Source organism: Homo sapiens, chromosome 13, assembly GCF_000001405.40.
Source record: "Homo sapiens chromosome 13, GRCh38.p14 Primary Assembly".
Taxonomy (NCBI): Eukaryota; Metazoa; Chordata; class Mammalia; order Primates; family Hominidae; genus Homo; species Homo sapiens.
Window position 1 is genome coordinate 60,104,307 of NC_000013.11, and position 16,020 is coordinate 60,120,326.

General features: G+C 35.8%; 1 protein-coding gene across 16 annotated transcripts in view; it reads right to left on the reverse strand.

The window, feature by feature from the left end:
- The window catches only part of DIAPH3 (diaphanous related formin 3), a 498,346-nt gene that overhangs the window by 438,724 nt on the left and 43,602 nt on the right, over positions 1–16,020 (reverse strand). For 15 of the 16 annotated variants that reach the window (XR_002957478.1, XR_002957480.1, XR_941672.1 and 12 more), the window contains one exon: positions 7,704–7,880. The exons of the other annotated variant lie outside the window; for it this stretch is intronic. Coding sequence is in view for 10 of the 15 variants with exons in the window: in NM_001258367.2 (NP_001245296.1) it covers positions 7,704–7,880 (177 nt within the window). In the remaining 5 variants the exon portion in view is untranslated. The remainder of the gene's footprint in view (positions 1–7,703; positions 7,881–16,020) is intronic. 16 annotated transcript variants of the gene reach the window in all.

Below are 16,020 nucleotides of genomic sequence, written 5' to 3' on the forward strand. Positions count from 1 at the left end.
GTTTTACCAATAGTGGGGTTGAATTTCCACTGTACTATCCAGTAGACACTGGATTACTCAATTCCCATTAAAATTAAAAGAAAGTCAGATGGCTAGCTCATTAATAGAACAGCAGCCAAAGAATGACATTTACCCAGAGACTGATAATGAACTCATAAACACTATTTTTTGGCCAAATATTCTAACTGGAGAATATGGGAAGAGTGTAAACTATCTTAATTGAAAAACAAATTTCAGTTTATCCTAATGCAGTATCAAGGCACACACACACACACACACACACACACACGATGAGAAAAAAAGAAATTTAAATATCACTTTTCTTTCATATACTGTAAATTTTAGCAGAACAGACAAGAAGAGAGCTGAATATTCAGAAAGCTGCACAACTCTAATTTATTCTGGAATGTAACCTTGCCAGAATTGTTCAAGTGTATGCATAAGCACCTACAATCACAAACAACTGCTGTGTAATCCTGCAGATAAGAACACTGCCAGTGATTGGCCAGGCGCGGTGGCTCACGCCAGTAATCCCAGCACTTTGGGAGGCCGAGGCAGGCGGTTCGTTCACGAGGTCAGGAGATCGAGACCATCCTGGCTAACACGGTGAAACCCCGTCTCTGCTAAAAATACAAAAAAATTAGCTGGGAGTGGTGGCGGGCACCTGTAGTCCCAGCTACTCGGGAGGCTGAGGCAGGAGAACGGCGTGAACCCAGGAGGCAGAGCTTGCAGTGAGCTGAGATTGCGCCACTATACTCCATCCAGCCTGGGCGACAAAGTGAGACACGATCTCAAAAAAAAAAAAAAAAAAAAAAAAAACTGCCAGTGATGAAAAAGGATTTTCATTCATATATTTGTTTTTCAACTTTTCTAAGTAAATGACAATTTCTTCATACATTTACATAAAGGATAAAATGGTCATTTGACTTAAGATACAACTTTTTTCTTAAGGCCACCTTTTCTACAGAAGAAAATATGACTGAGAAAAGGCCTTCACAGGTATACACAAATAATTGCCTGCACAGCTCCTAACTGGCAAAACAGCATGCTGAAATATTACCATAACATTTACCCCTTTAAAATTCCTCCCTCTAACCATTTTATTGGTGCTACAAAATCCCACCAGGCAAAATCCAGTACACCTAAATCATTTATTTTCTCATTTATCTGGATCTAGAAGAAACAACTAAACACTGACATTATCCCCCTGACAAACACAACCCATGAATCAACTTGATAATTGCCTTGAACTACTATACTCTCTCCCTCTTCCTCTTCATTATTTGGATTGCTTTTAAACCACCTTTCCCTGAATTTTTCAATTTCTACCCAATGGAGAGGGAAAAGAGTGACAAGTAATAAATCAGAACAAAGCATTCCCACAGAACCTCTCTCATTTTATCTAGTCAAGCCTTAATACACTTTTTTAGATTGTAAGAAATAGAAAATGTTCACGATATAGGAAAGTAGATTTGTAAAGAATACTAATACTTGAAATAAGCTGCTGGTAGGAATCTATAGCAGTCAATAAACACTTAAGAGAATTAACACAAAGGGGTCTTTGTTGGTTTTTCTTTTCATTCAGACTCTTGGTTGACCCTTAAGATATTCCTTGCACACTCAACACAAAATTCATTTATTTGACCAAAGTAATAGCTATGCATAAATCTTTAACACCAAGAATTAAAGAGAATAAAGAAAGAAAAATTGTCATTAGTATGTACCCTAAGAGTGGCAATATGGAATAAGCTTAGCAAGATGAACCCTCCCCACCTCTATACCAAAAATATCAAAAGAACATGGTCACATCTGATTTTTATCGGTTCACCTGAGCCCTTCTTTTCTCCTCTGGAAAAACAGCTCTTAGATATTAAGGTTTATTATACAGTTGTGGTGACTAAGACAACAGACGTAAATGCAGAACTAGACAAACGAACTGATGGACAAAAATCAAACCTCAGAAACAAACCCACATGTGCACAAACTTGATCTATAACATTAGAGATATTACAAATCATAAAAAAGAATGAACTATTCAAATAAATGCTGCTGGAAAAACTATGTGGAAAAAAATTGGATCCACATCTCACATCAGGCATAGAGATATATATTTCTAATAATTTTAAATGAAAATATAGGAGAATAGATTTATGATGTCAGGATAGATTTCTTCAATAATATACAAAAAGGACAAACCATAAAAAGTTTGATAAATCTGACCACAATTTTACATTTTTGTACTTCAGCTCCCCTTTCCCGCTAACAAAAGTAAAAAGACAAGACTCGGTCTAGGACAAGATATTTGCAACACATATAAACTGAACACATGAGTATTATTCTGGCTATATGGGAAATTCTACAAATCAATATGAAAAAGACGGAAATCTCAAACAACAAAATGGGCAAAAATATAAACAGAAAATTCACAGAAGAGTAAAGCAAAGGGCCAATAAGCATGTGAAAAGATGTTCGGACACATTTATAATCAGAAAAATATAAATCCTTTAGTATGAGATATGCTGTTTACATTTGTTTACTTGCAAAACTTAAAAAGTCTAATACTAATGCAAACAGGGATGTTCTACAAATTAACCAGCCTGCAATCTTCAAAACTTTCAAATTCATAAAATACAAGGAAACATACGAACTATTCCAGACTGAAGAAGATTTTAAAAACATAACTGAATGCAACATATGATTCTGAACTAGATTCTTTTGCTATAAAGAGGATATTGGTACTATTGGTAAAACTTTAATAGTGTGTGAGGTAGAAATTGATCAGTGTTAACTTTCTGATTTTGGTGGCTATATTGTGGTCATATAGAAGGAAGTCCTTACTTGTGGAAAACATACACTGAAGTATTACAGGATTATGGGGCATTGAATCAGCAATTTACCATCAAATATCTCAGAAGAAAAAAGGTTTTGTTCCGTATAACTGTATTCTTATACAGACAGAAAAAAAAAAGGAAAGTTTCTTCAGTGTATGGGAGCAAAACTATTGGATTCAGGGTACTGTTAACCTCAGGGAAAAAAAGAAGATAAAAGCGGGAATTAGAAGAATTACACAAGGGATTTCACTTATATCCGTGGTGGTATTTTTTATATTATGTTCTATACTTTTTGTATGCCTGAAATACTGTATAATTTAAAAAAAACACTGCAGGACAAAATTAGATTCCACTCTATGTTATACACAGAAAATTGTTTCAAAGTCAAATATTAATGCCTTTGGTATTATCTAAACCAGGTTTCCCACACTGAAAAGCCAATGTATGTATTAAATAGTAGGTCATCTAAGTTCTTACTACCAGGACATACTTCAAACATACGCTTAAGAGATGACGATGGCATTTTATAAATGTGCTTTCTCCTACATTACAAAAAAGCCTGATAAACATCTTCCCAGTAAAAGAATAGAACATCACTATTCATACTTAAGTACTTCGTGCAATTTTATCAGGTCATTTTTTCTACACTTACAACAATTCTAGACAGGAAGTCCAGAATTTAAATAATTTTTGTCAGAATGATTTTGGTATCATTGGAACTCATTTAATGCCTGTTAATGATAGCATTCTGATAGATGAGCTTTCTTGCATAGCTTTCATTCTCTCAACCGATAGTGAAAATAAGAAAAGGTATGAATGCATGAAAAAAGCTATCTTCCATTCATTATTTTAATGTTTTTGTGTTATTGGGCTGACTAGCAATTAAAGCTAATCTCCATCTAAGTATAGTGTCTAAGGTGAAGAGAAATATAGTATCCTAGAAATCTTAAGTTAGGAAGCTGCACTTAACAGACATTTGTTTGGAATGATAAACCAATGGATGATACTGCATGGATATAATCTAATGGGAAGACAGATATCTAAAAAGTGAAAAGTAAAAAAAAAGAATGAATTTCACAATAGACTCATAAGCAGTTTTGAGAGGCAGGTTTAAGGAATCCTTAACTCAGCACATGTGAAGATAATTAAAGAAAACTAATGTTTAAACTAAGATTTAAAGTATGTATAAGGCCAGGCACGGTGGCTCACATCTGTAATCCCAGCACTTTGGGAGGCTGAAGCGGGTGGATCACTTGAGGTCAGGAATTCGAGACCAGCCTGGCCAACATGGTGAAACCACATCTCTACCAAAAATACAAAAATTAGCTGGCATGGTGGTATGTGCCTGTAGTCCCTGCTACTCAGGAGGCTGAAGCAGGGATTGCTTGAACCCGGGAGACAGAAGTTGCAATAAGCCAAGATCATGCCACTGCACTCCAGCCTGGGTGACACAGCAAGACTCCGTCTCGAAAAAAAAATAAAAATTAAAAAATGAAGTATAAGAAGTCTCTAACAGAGGCATGGAGGGAGATAAATGGCAGAGAACACTGCAGTATCCTAGATAAGAGGTCATGAAAGCTTGAACTAAAGCAGGGGGGAAATAAACTTAAGAGCTAATGAAGATAGAGAAGTAAATGGATGTGACTGATGCCTTAATGAGATCAACTATGACTCCCAAGTATGACTTCAGTGGGGACTTCTGAGATAAGAAATTAAGAGTGAAGCAGAAATTTTGGTGAGTGGGTGTGTGTGTTGGGGGGAGGTGTGTGTGTATTTAGGAAATATGATGAGTTCACTTTCTGATGTGTTGAGGTTCAGCATCTTTTAGAGAGCTGGATTATAACTGCTCTTCTGTAGAAGACATACCAAGGTGTCACAATATAAAAGATATTCTCCATGAAAGGGCTCAAGTCTCCCAAAAGGAGTACGCAGAAAACTCAAGTGTATAAAGATAAGACTGACAGGCAGAGGCAACACTGAGAGGAAGTAAAAGAACACATAGAAGGATATGGAGAGTAAACTGGAAAAAACTGGCCAGAGAGAAGGAAAATTAGGAAAAGTGAAGTGTGTGTCACAGAGACACACACTTCTTTCACACGGTGTGTGACTGCCACAGAACCAGTCAAGCCGACCAGGATTTCTCACTTACAGAACTATAATAAATGTGTGTTGCTTTAAATCACAAAGTCCGTGGTAATTTGTTACGGCAGCAATAGGAAACTAATACAACACTCTAGGAAACCAATAGATACCTTAGGCCAGCAAGTGCTCATTCCTTCCCTCCCCCGACCCCAATCTAGTCTTGGAAGAGACAAATTCAGTCCAGAGAATAGGGAAGAATGGAAAAGCAAGATGGAGGAAAAGAGGCCAACCACATCCCCAACAACTGCCCCTACTGGAGACTAGAAATGGAACAAGCTTGAACAAGGGAAAAGGAGCAGCTTTCTTTGGGTGAAAATTAATTTATATTAAGCTAGGGTTTGTATTATCTGAAACCAACAGGAAATCTCTGGAACCTACCTGGGACTTTTAACCAGGATCAGAAGAAAAATAAGCTCAGAGGGCTGATTTAAAGGTGCAACAGCTGGAATAAACTAGCCACTTCCAACTTACACCTATCATGTTCACCTTGTTCAAAAAACACTACTTACAGGTATCTAAGAGTTCAGGAGTAATCACTGAAATTGACTTCAGAAACGTAAGTTGTAAATGTAGTGATGAACACAACTATTTCACGTATCTAATAGTCATACAGAAACCAATATGGGCTTTCAGCTAGAATTTCAGCTTTCACCAAAAGACAAACGGGGGGAAAAGTCTTTAAGTATAACTAAAAATTCAACACCACTTTTAAGAATGCACACAGAAACTAGACTATTACCCAGAGACCAAGTAAATCAATTTCCCAAGTGAAATGAGTATGAATGTTGAAGTTATTACACTGTACTTCACATTCATTAAGTAATCAAGTCAGCACAGTCTTTCAAAGGACTGTCTTGAGGAGGGAAAAGAGGTGTTCTTCAAAACAAAGTTGTTACTTCATGTAAAAATTACTAAATACCTTTGATAATGATAAATAAGAACAATCATTGTAAAAATTGCACAATGCCAAAGCAAAGAACCTAGATGCAAACTTTAAATAGTATAAAGCCTCTGTAGGTACAAATGCCAAAAGGTTACCATGGCTGATTATTCAATGTTGCTTTCTCAAGAGAATTCTTATTAATAAAAATGTAACAGATACGTACAAGCCAAAAATCAAGCCAGTTTAAATCTAGCATTCTCCACAGACATAGAAATAGCTCTAAATTTGTCAAAAATATGGTACCCTGAGAAGTTTGAAAAATATCCTAATCCACATTTAAAGAAGGCAACAACACCCTTCAAAAGCCTTTCAGCTTCAGAATCAATAGCAGTTTTTCCCTACAGAGTACTGTAGTATACTCAAGGAATCAGTAAGGGAAAGAAAGAATCTGTTTCTTATTTTTTAAAAAGGGCTTAGTTGTAATTGTCTCATCCCTTAGCAAATTGGACAGCCCTGAGAAGGCAACAATTTCATTTTATTTCTGCTGAGTTACTCCAGTGAGGGTTTGATCACCAAAATCTAATGCCAATAGGTAGACCTGCTTAAGGGTGAAAAAGTGATCTGGCCCAGTTATTTTAAAAGTATTCTGTAAATATTTCAAAAATGCTGATATTCATCTGACCTCTAAATAATATTAAAATATATAGTATTAGCCCCCTCCCAGCTACGAGTAACAGAAAACTAACATAAACTATATTCAGTACTTTCTAGGTAGTTGTACTTTTAACTTGTGGAAATAAAATGTGGCCTCCATAAATGTTTAACATCAATGGGCTACTTAGTCCACTTACTCAGATGGCACCCTCAATTATGATGAAATTTTTTAACTTAGTAGCCACAAGTGAACCATAAAAGTGTCATCCTGAAATCTCATGGATGGATAACCTAGGTGAGTGGTTCGATATATAGTGCACGGATGGGAGAAAAGTGCACTTTACGATCTTGAGTCCTCAAAGATAGTACTGAAGAGAGTTACCTTCATATAGGCCTCATTAACAGAGGCAAAGGCTAACCAGAAAAAGGTTAGGCATCCAGAAAAAGACGTAGAAAGTGAGTTCAAGTCTCCACAGATCTAAGTGTTGCAAAAAGAACCTGTTTATCCTAAAAACTAAGAAAAGAATAAAACAAGTTAGGTCTAAGATCCAGCCCATAACAATGCAAACAGTAGAGCACAGTGACTGTCATTTTAACATGGACTGGACTCAGACCACTTAGATCAGGGGTCCCCAACCCCGTTAGCAACTGGGCCACACAGCAGGAGATGAGTGGCAGGCCAGCCAGCATTACCAGCTGAGCTCCGCCTCTTGTCAGATCAGCAGTGGCATTACATTCTCAAAGGAGCACAAACTCCATGGTGAACTGTGCACGCTTCTTATGAGCATCTAACTAATGCCTGATGATGTGAGGTGGAACAGTTTCATTCCAAAATCATCTCCACCACCCCCCAAACGCTCATGGAAAAATTGTCTTCCATAAAATCAGTCCCTGGTGCCAAAAAGGTTGGGGACCGCTGACTTAAATATCTACTCAAGACAAAAATATACCGTTCGATACTTTGGAGTATTTGTTTTCACATACTCTTTACAAAACCAAAACCTGGTATGTTGTTTTTCTTCAGATTTCATATTTTTGTAATCCAAAAACTCTTTGTGGCTGAAGTGCTATCTTAAGTGACATCAGAAATTAGCCTATGGAGTATGACTACCAAAAATGCTTAGAGTTCCATTAACATGAGCAAAAGCTAAGGCTTTTTCCTCAAACATTTCCTAAAGAATCAAAATTCTTACCATCATTTTTTCAAAAAGTTCTAAGAGTTCATTCTCTGACAGTGGCTTTGGAAAGTTCTCCATCATCTCTAAAGGTGCTGCTGAGCAATCACTGCTTGCAAATGCAGTCTTCAGGTTGGGAAGTGGAGGTCTCTCTTTCTTGCTCCCTGGAATTCTTATGCTGGCAAATTTGTCCAGCTACAAAGAAAGACAGAATGACACACGTGTAAGTATTTCCTTTCCCAACATTTATCTCATCTCAAAAATGAGAAAAACAAAGAGGGCCAATCGTGTTATCATTGTGATTTCATCAAGAGGCATTCAGCATTGGAATATTTAAAATTAATAATAATAAAGAGTGGTGAAAATTTTTCAGCAACCATTCTATCTAAAGATTGAAGAGAGCTCAGACAACATTGAAAGATTCCTTCTAATCTTAAAACCACACATAGATTTGAGCTTCTAATGACAGGTGACCTTTGCTTTATATATTAGCAAATTAAGCAGTTTAGAAAGATTACTTAGATAATTTAGTGTTGGTCCCAAACTAGTACTCACTGTCCCATCTCCCACCCCCTCCTGGCCCCTCTGCCTATTGCCCTTTCCATAATGCATCCTGTCTCTCGGAGTGGGGGTGGGAGGGGAACATGATTTAGGAATTTTTAGGAATTGAATTCTACTTATATCTTCATAGCTTAGTGGCCTGATAAACTATTTATCTTTGTTCAGGCTGGTCTGTATGTGAACTTCTTGAATATCTACAGGGCAAAATGGTTAAGGCCTTAAGAAATAAACCTAGATTTTTGTTGCAATGAAATTTCTTCTACAACTAGATAATCAAATAGCTTGCTGACATTCAAAAAAGCATAGATATTAGTTTACAAAGCTAATTATTCATTTATTCAAAATTGTTTGAATTTCACAAGTTATATTGCTCACAAAGAACCCAGACTCATACATTTCATGACTAATACAATGTTTCAACAATCAAAAATGCAAAAAGTCTTAAGCTGAACCAGGCATCAAGAATAGAAGTATACTCAAACAGCACAGTGATTCCATGAGTTTTTTTTTATCATTGTTGTATACATTTTTAAGCTACTGTTCTCACCACGTATACTGTATATAAACCTGTACTATTCATTATGGTAGCCACTAGCTATGTATGATTATTAAATTAAATTGAATGATATTAAAAATTCAGTTCCTTCATTGGACTAGCCTACATTTCAAGTGCTCAAGAGCCACATGTGGCCAGCATACTAATACATATAGAACATTTCCATCATTGCAAAAAGTTTTAATGGACAGAGCTGGTATAGCCATTAAAAACGTCTGATACCTCAAAGGTTCAATTCAAAAGGACAATTAAGTCACAGTATTGTTTATTCAATTCACTAAAGAAATAGGATTTCTTCAAATAATGAGATGTAAAGATAAGTATTATCTTTCAAAATAGGTTTCTAAATTTACTATGAAGATAATGTCTAGGAAAAATACTATGTACTGCACTCACCCATGGTCCACCTAACATCACTTAAACATTAAAGTACTAAGAATACGACAGCTTTCTGTAGGATTTAGAAAGTTGTCATAAAACACCACTGCTCTCATTCTAACCACCAAAACAAACCAGAAAACGTATAAAGTTATACTTGCTGTTGTCGTCAACCCAACAGAAAACTGAAGACCCAAAGAAATCTACAAGAATCAAATACCAGAAAATGACAAGCTGCTCTTATCCCTGACAAACAGTTGAGGAAGAAGAATAAGTTAAACAAGGGTAAAGAAAAGCCAGCCAAATATTTAAGGAAATATTGATAGCTGCATGGGTGCTGGCATTAGAATTTCAAGGAGCCCCACATGAAGCCCCAGCCATTTGGCAAGTCTACACCCACCTACCAACTCTTTCCCTAGTCTTCACCAACTGAATGCGGTAGTAAGCCAATGGCTCGGAGCAGAACAGGAAAGCTGTATGAATACTCCGTGAGGCATATGCAAACAACTGCCCTCCAAAGGCCATAGACTAGGCAAAAGACTGGAGAGAAATCCCCATGACACATTCTGGACTTTGAAAGAGCATGTCATAATGCCATCTAAAGGCTGGGGCAGGGTACCTGGTCAAAGAGATTTCCTGAAGAAACAGCCAGAAGTAGAACTGAAAACAGAAAGAGAACTCTACATTAACCCTAAAATGGGCATTTTTTTTTTCCTGAAACGATATAATGAAGAGTGGACATTACACATGAGATGAATAATTTCAGCAGCAAAGTCACAGATTAAGAAAAAAAAAAACACGGATGAATTAGAAATAAAGAATAGATCGGAAATGAAGATTTTCTTAGATGAGCTTAACAGTAACCTGGACATAGCTGAGGAAGAATCAGTGAACCTAAACCCAGATCAATAGAAAGTTCCAAACTCAAACACAAACAAAATAATGAGATAGAAAAAAAATTGAGTATGATCTGTGATACACATCAAATGTTGTAACACAAGTGTAACTGGGGTCCAGAAGCAGAAGAGAGAGTGGAAATGGTACAGAAGAAATATTTCAGAAGATAATGACTAAGAATTTTCCAAAATTGATTACATATATATAACTCAATTCACAGATCCAAGAAGCTCAGCAAAACCCAAAAAGAATACAAAAGACACACACACACACACACACACACACACACAAACACACACACACACCTACCTACCCCTAAGCACTTCATGGTCAAACTGCTGAAAGTTAAAAATAAACAGCAAACCATAAAACTACAGCCAGAGAAATAAAAATACATTATATACACGAGAAAAAAATGATATGACAGCTAATTTCTCACCAGAAACAATGGTGGCAAAAGACAATGGAATGGCATCTTTAAAGTGCTGAAAGAAAGGTAGGGTTGACTCTTGAACAACACAGGGATTAGGGCAGTCAAAGTCCACATATAAATTTTGACTCCCCAGAAACTTAACTACTTATAGCCTCCTGTTAATGGGAAACCTTACCAATAACATAAACAGTCAATTAATACATTGCTGTATGTTAAATGTATTTACTGTATTCTTACAATAAGTTAGAGAAAAGAAAATCTTATTAAAATCATAAGAAAGAAAAAATACATTTACAATACTGTACTATATTTATCAATACTGTAAGTTTACATCATATAACAAGATGAATTGTCTGCTGAAATGGTGACCAACACAGCTACAGACCTCAATCTATACAATTCACGTATCAAGCAATTCACCTTTTTCTTGTAATGTCATGAGTTTTCTCTGATTCTTGGGATCACTTCAAGCATCACTAGTGGCACTTTGTATGGGTCCCATGGTGTTACTCAGGGTTTACGGTATTGCACTAAACACGATGAAAAATACTCAAGAACTGCAAGAGATCAGTTTTTACTGAAATACGCAATTTACTGGAGAGATTAACTGCTCAAGTGGAGATGATTAGTGTCAGGTGACATTTTAAGTAGATACTCAACACACCTGAGCTCACCGGAATAGCAACCAGAGGTGACTACAACATTAATAGAGTAATATAGTGTGCGGTACAGTTAATTTTATAAAGTTATAGTTTAATACTGCATCTTTACATTTGTTCACATTTCTCTTGACTGCAAACGGCACCATCTTTAGTTCATGTTTGTATGAACTAAAGTCAATAAATTTTGATTAATTTTAACTTTTTTTATAATAGATTTGTAAATGTTTTATGGTATTAAGTGAGAAAACAGACTATTATTTAAATATATTCAAGATATATATAACTTTTTCTTTTTTCGAGATTTCTAACCAGTTTGTCTGCAAGTTTTTTCAAATTATTGCAAATCTACAAAAATCTCCAATATATTTCTTTGAAAAAAACCTGTGTGTAAGGGGATCTGGGCAGTTCAAATCAATGTTGTTCCAGGATCAGCTGTACTGTTATCCTGGGATTCTATATACAGTGAAACTACCCTTCATAAGTAGAAGCAAAAGAAACACACTTTCAGACAAAAACTGAGATAATCTGTCTCCAGCAGACCTGTACTACAAAAAGTATAAAAGAATTTTTTCAGGCTGTAGGGAAGTGATACATATATAACTTTTTCTTAACTTGTTCTGGGATGAAATCCTAGATCTACAAAAAGAAATGAAGAGCAATCAACAGTTGTCTATTAGATGTTGGTGATACAAAGATAAATGAGCTATAAGACTTACCTTAAATAATTATCAAGTGGAAGAGACAAGCACATAGGTAATTATATAGCTACACAGAAAATGTAGGAGGTATGTGAAATGTATTATAATAGCAAAAAAGAGTGGCATATAACTCACCACCATAAGCGTTTCCTACTCTGGAATAACTCAGAAACATAAAACTGTCTCCACATGAATATATGTCCAGAAGTTACTATCCCTATGTACATTTGTACCCTCATTACTGATGTTTGTTTAAAACAAAAACAAAAACTGAGAGAAACCAAAAAAACTGTTTTAGGAAATGGGACTGGTTACCTATCTCCCAAGTCACTACTTCATTGCCATCATTTCTGTACGGATAATATCAATTCCTAAGCACAGAAACTATTCTGGTTCTTTACATACACACACATCCAAAAAAAAAACCCAGTGTAACTTAATTAATATGCCAAACTTATAATGAAGTGAAATTAAGCAAAACTTCATTAATGCAACATCAATATTATAAATGTAAACATGTCAATAAATGGGAATAATAAGCTTAAGCACTTCACAAGCTAATTTGTAAATGCATAACCTAATGGTTCTAACAGTAATAGAAGACATAAAATCTTAATTTTCACCAAAAACCAAAACTTTTTTTAAAAAGAATCTCTAAAGTCATAAAAATTAACAATATTTTTACTAATATTTACTGAGCCTTTTCTATATGTCAAGCACCAGGCTAAGAGCTTGAAATGCAGCATCAGGTTGAATACGTTGGTTTAATCCTTAAAGTGAGGAAACTGTATGTCTAAAAAATAAAAGAACAAGCTCCAAAACACTTTTGTACCTAACGATTTCATAGTATTGAGCTCAAAAATAGGACAAAGGAAAAAAATCAGCCATTAATGCTTTCAGGAGTAAAACTAGTAAAACTGTACTTGTATCAATAACATAATTTGTAAAAGTAATAACGTTAATAATAAAATATAATTATCACACCTACCCCATATGCTTAGCACCTAAAACTCTGGGGAAAAGATAAATTTTACCCAAATGGAAAAATAAATTTGTACATTACCACTAGTATAGACGGATGAAGGCAAGATAGGAAAAATTAGCATTCCCCTCTTCTAGCTTATAAATCCACAATGGTCAAAATAGTAATATGAGATACAAAAGGATCAATCAGTATTTCATATTTTCAATATAATGCTTTTATTTCTTTTCCCAGATAAGAAAGAATAAAAGAAAAAAATAAGGAAAGAACCATAAAAGAAAAATAAGCACAATCCTTCCTCCTATACTGGAATAGCAACTCGAATCTAATGAATACCTGAGGCTAAAAGTAAAAGCATTCCGTGCCCTATTGAGCACTCCAGGTAGATTCTACAAAATCTGGGCACTATAACAAAGCTAGGCACAAAGTGAGCTTTACTATCAAATCATTTTACATGTTATAAAAGAAGTTTCATTTTTTAAAAGAGAGGTTACTATGATTCCATTCACACATGGAAAAATCACTCCTAATCTATCTTTGATGAAATTGCACACACGATTTGCTTAAACCAAGGTACAATAGAACACTTGAGCAAACTTTAAAAATACTTTTTACATAAAAATATGACAGGAATCCCCCTAATATTGACCATAAGTTGGTTATCTTGTATTTGGCAATTTGGCTGGGGGTTGTTTATGTGTGTGTATTACAATTTGTGCACTTTCTATTTCATGTAAAATTTCCATAATTTTATATGAAATTCTCCTCTTAAAGTTGAGCAAGAAACACAACCCAGAGAGGTGAAGTATACAAACAATTTGCCTTTGTTGAAGAATTAGTTAAACATATGCAAGACTGAGAAGATTCTGTTATAATGCCATTTGGAGATGGTACACCACACTTCATTAATATGGCTTTGACTGTGTCTGGGGTACACTAAGTTTTATAAATTAATATCACGTATCTTCAGGGGAAGCTAAATGAGCACCCTACTGAGTATTATCTCATACTGAGTAATTACACTAATAATCAGTAATGACAGTTTAAATAAAATTAATTAAACAAAAAAAGGTTCAAAAAAAACTATCTGAATTTTTAGCTATAGTATATCACTGTAAAAGTGAAAACTCAGTGTTTAAGGTTTTCAGTATTACAACATTTTAAACACCAAAAGGCAAGTGATTCTTTAATTTAAAATGAAAGGAAAATATAATTAGTCATCTTACAATTTCACAAGTATGAAAAACTACATATGATCATAAACATACTTCATTAGAACCCAGAAGGGAGTAGAAATTTTCACGAAATCCAGGAGAATTATTAAGCAAACAAAAATTCCTTCTCATTATAGAATCAATTCTATCCAAATACATACCTGAAATACAGAATAAAATCTACTGCTTGAAATTCTCTATTTTCAGGCAATCTTACACGACGCTTAAGAGGGGGTAAAAACCTAACAGCTAACATAGCTTGGCTCTTTAGTTAACTTTATTACTAATCTGGGAACTTTGTGATTAAAAACAAGCAAGGCTCTGGAGTCTTGACTTCACAATCCTGTCCAGCCACTTGCTTAGTGTGTTACCACAACTAAGCTACTTAAACCTTCCATGATGGTACCCATCACAGAGAAGTGTTAACAGGAAATAAAAGTACTATTCACTCTCATCTTTGGATTTAAAAGGCTGAAATGCCTTCCCTGACCACTTTATCTAAAGTAGCACGTGTACCCACCCCTTATCCGTCACAGCACACAGTACAGTCTCTTCCTATGTCCTTTCACATGACTTACGAAAATCTGTAATTATCTCATTTATTTTGTAATTGTTAACTCTGTCTCTTTCCAACTAAAATGTAAGTGCCATGCTAGACAAACCATCAACTGTTTTAATCACTGTGGCAGCCCGTCTCTAAGATGGCCCCAGTGATCCTGATTTATGTAACCAACAGATATTTTGGAAATTATGAAGTGCAATTTTCAAGACTAGATCATAAAAGATTTTACAGCTTTTGTTTTGCTCCTTCTTGGGAGTATGCCAGCTGCCAGATCATGAGAACACTCAAGAACTCCTAAGGGGAGGCAAAGAACATGACAAAGAATTGAGGGCTTCCACTAAAAGATAAACAGGTTTCTTGCCAACAGCCATGTGAGTGAGCCATCTTGAAAGTCCTGGTCAAGCCTTCACATGACTGTAGCTCCAGCCAACATTTTTACCGCAAACTCAAGGCAGAACCCAACCCAGAACCACCCAGCTAAGCAACTACCAAATTCCTGACACACAGAAGTGGTATGAAATGATAAATCTTGGCCGGGCGCGGTGGCTCACGCCTGTAATCCCAGCACTTTGGGAGGCCGAGGCGGGTGGATCACGAGGTCAGGAGATCGAGACCATCCCGGCTAAAACGGTGAAACCCCGTCTCTACTAAAAATACAAAAAATTAGCCGGGCGTAGTGGCGGGCGCCTGTAGTCCCAGCTACTTGGGAGGCTGAGGTAGGAGAATGGCGTGAACCCGGGAGGCGGAGCTTGCAGTGAGCCGAGATCCCGCCACTGCACTCCAGCCTGGGCGACAGAGCGAGACTCCGTCTCAAAAAAAAAAAAAAAAAAAAAAAAAGAAATGATAAATCTTTGCTATTTTAAGTCACTAAGTTTTGGGGCAACTCGTTATATACCAACAGATAACGATTATAGTCATGTTGTGTATGCAGCCTATAGCACAGTACCTGATAGTTAGCAGTCAGTCAAGTAATACTTGTTGAAGGTATGAATGAATGAGCAATTACTAGATGATAAAATATATAAAACATAGTTACCATCCCTACAGATGCTTACCATTTGAGAGAAAAATATACAATAAAGGATCATAATTTAAGGTAGAATATTGTAAATGCCCCCAAGAAAATAAGCCAAGTGAACTAGCAACAGGAATGAATGATTAATTCTAGAGTGGGGAAAAGTACCTTGAGAGGGGCTTTGGAATGTAAGTACAACAGGGAACTTGTGATGCTGATATGAAAATTATAGAACATGTTAACTGCTAAGCAGTATGTCTGCCTGTTCCATGGTCTTTACATTTAAGCACTAGTGACATCACTGGTTTTACAAAGATGTATCACTGTGGAGAGAAAAACCAACCATTCAATCTTTCAGGTATGATAAGCTGAGGCCA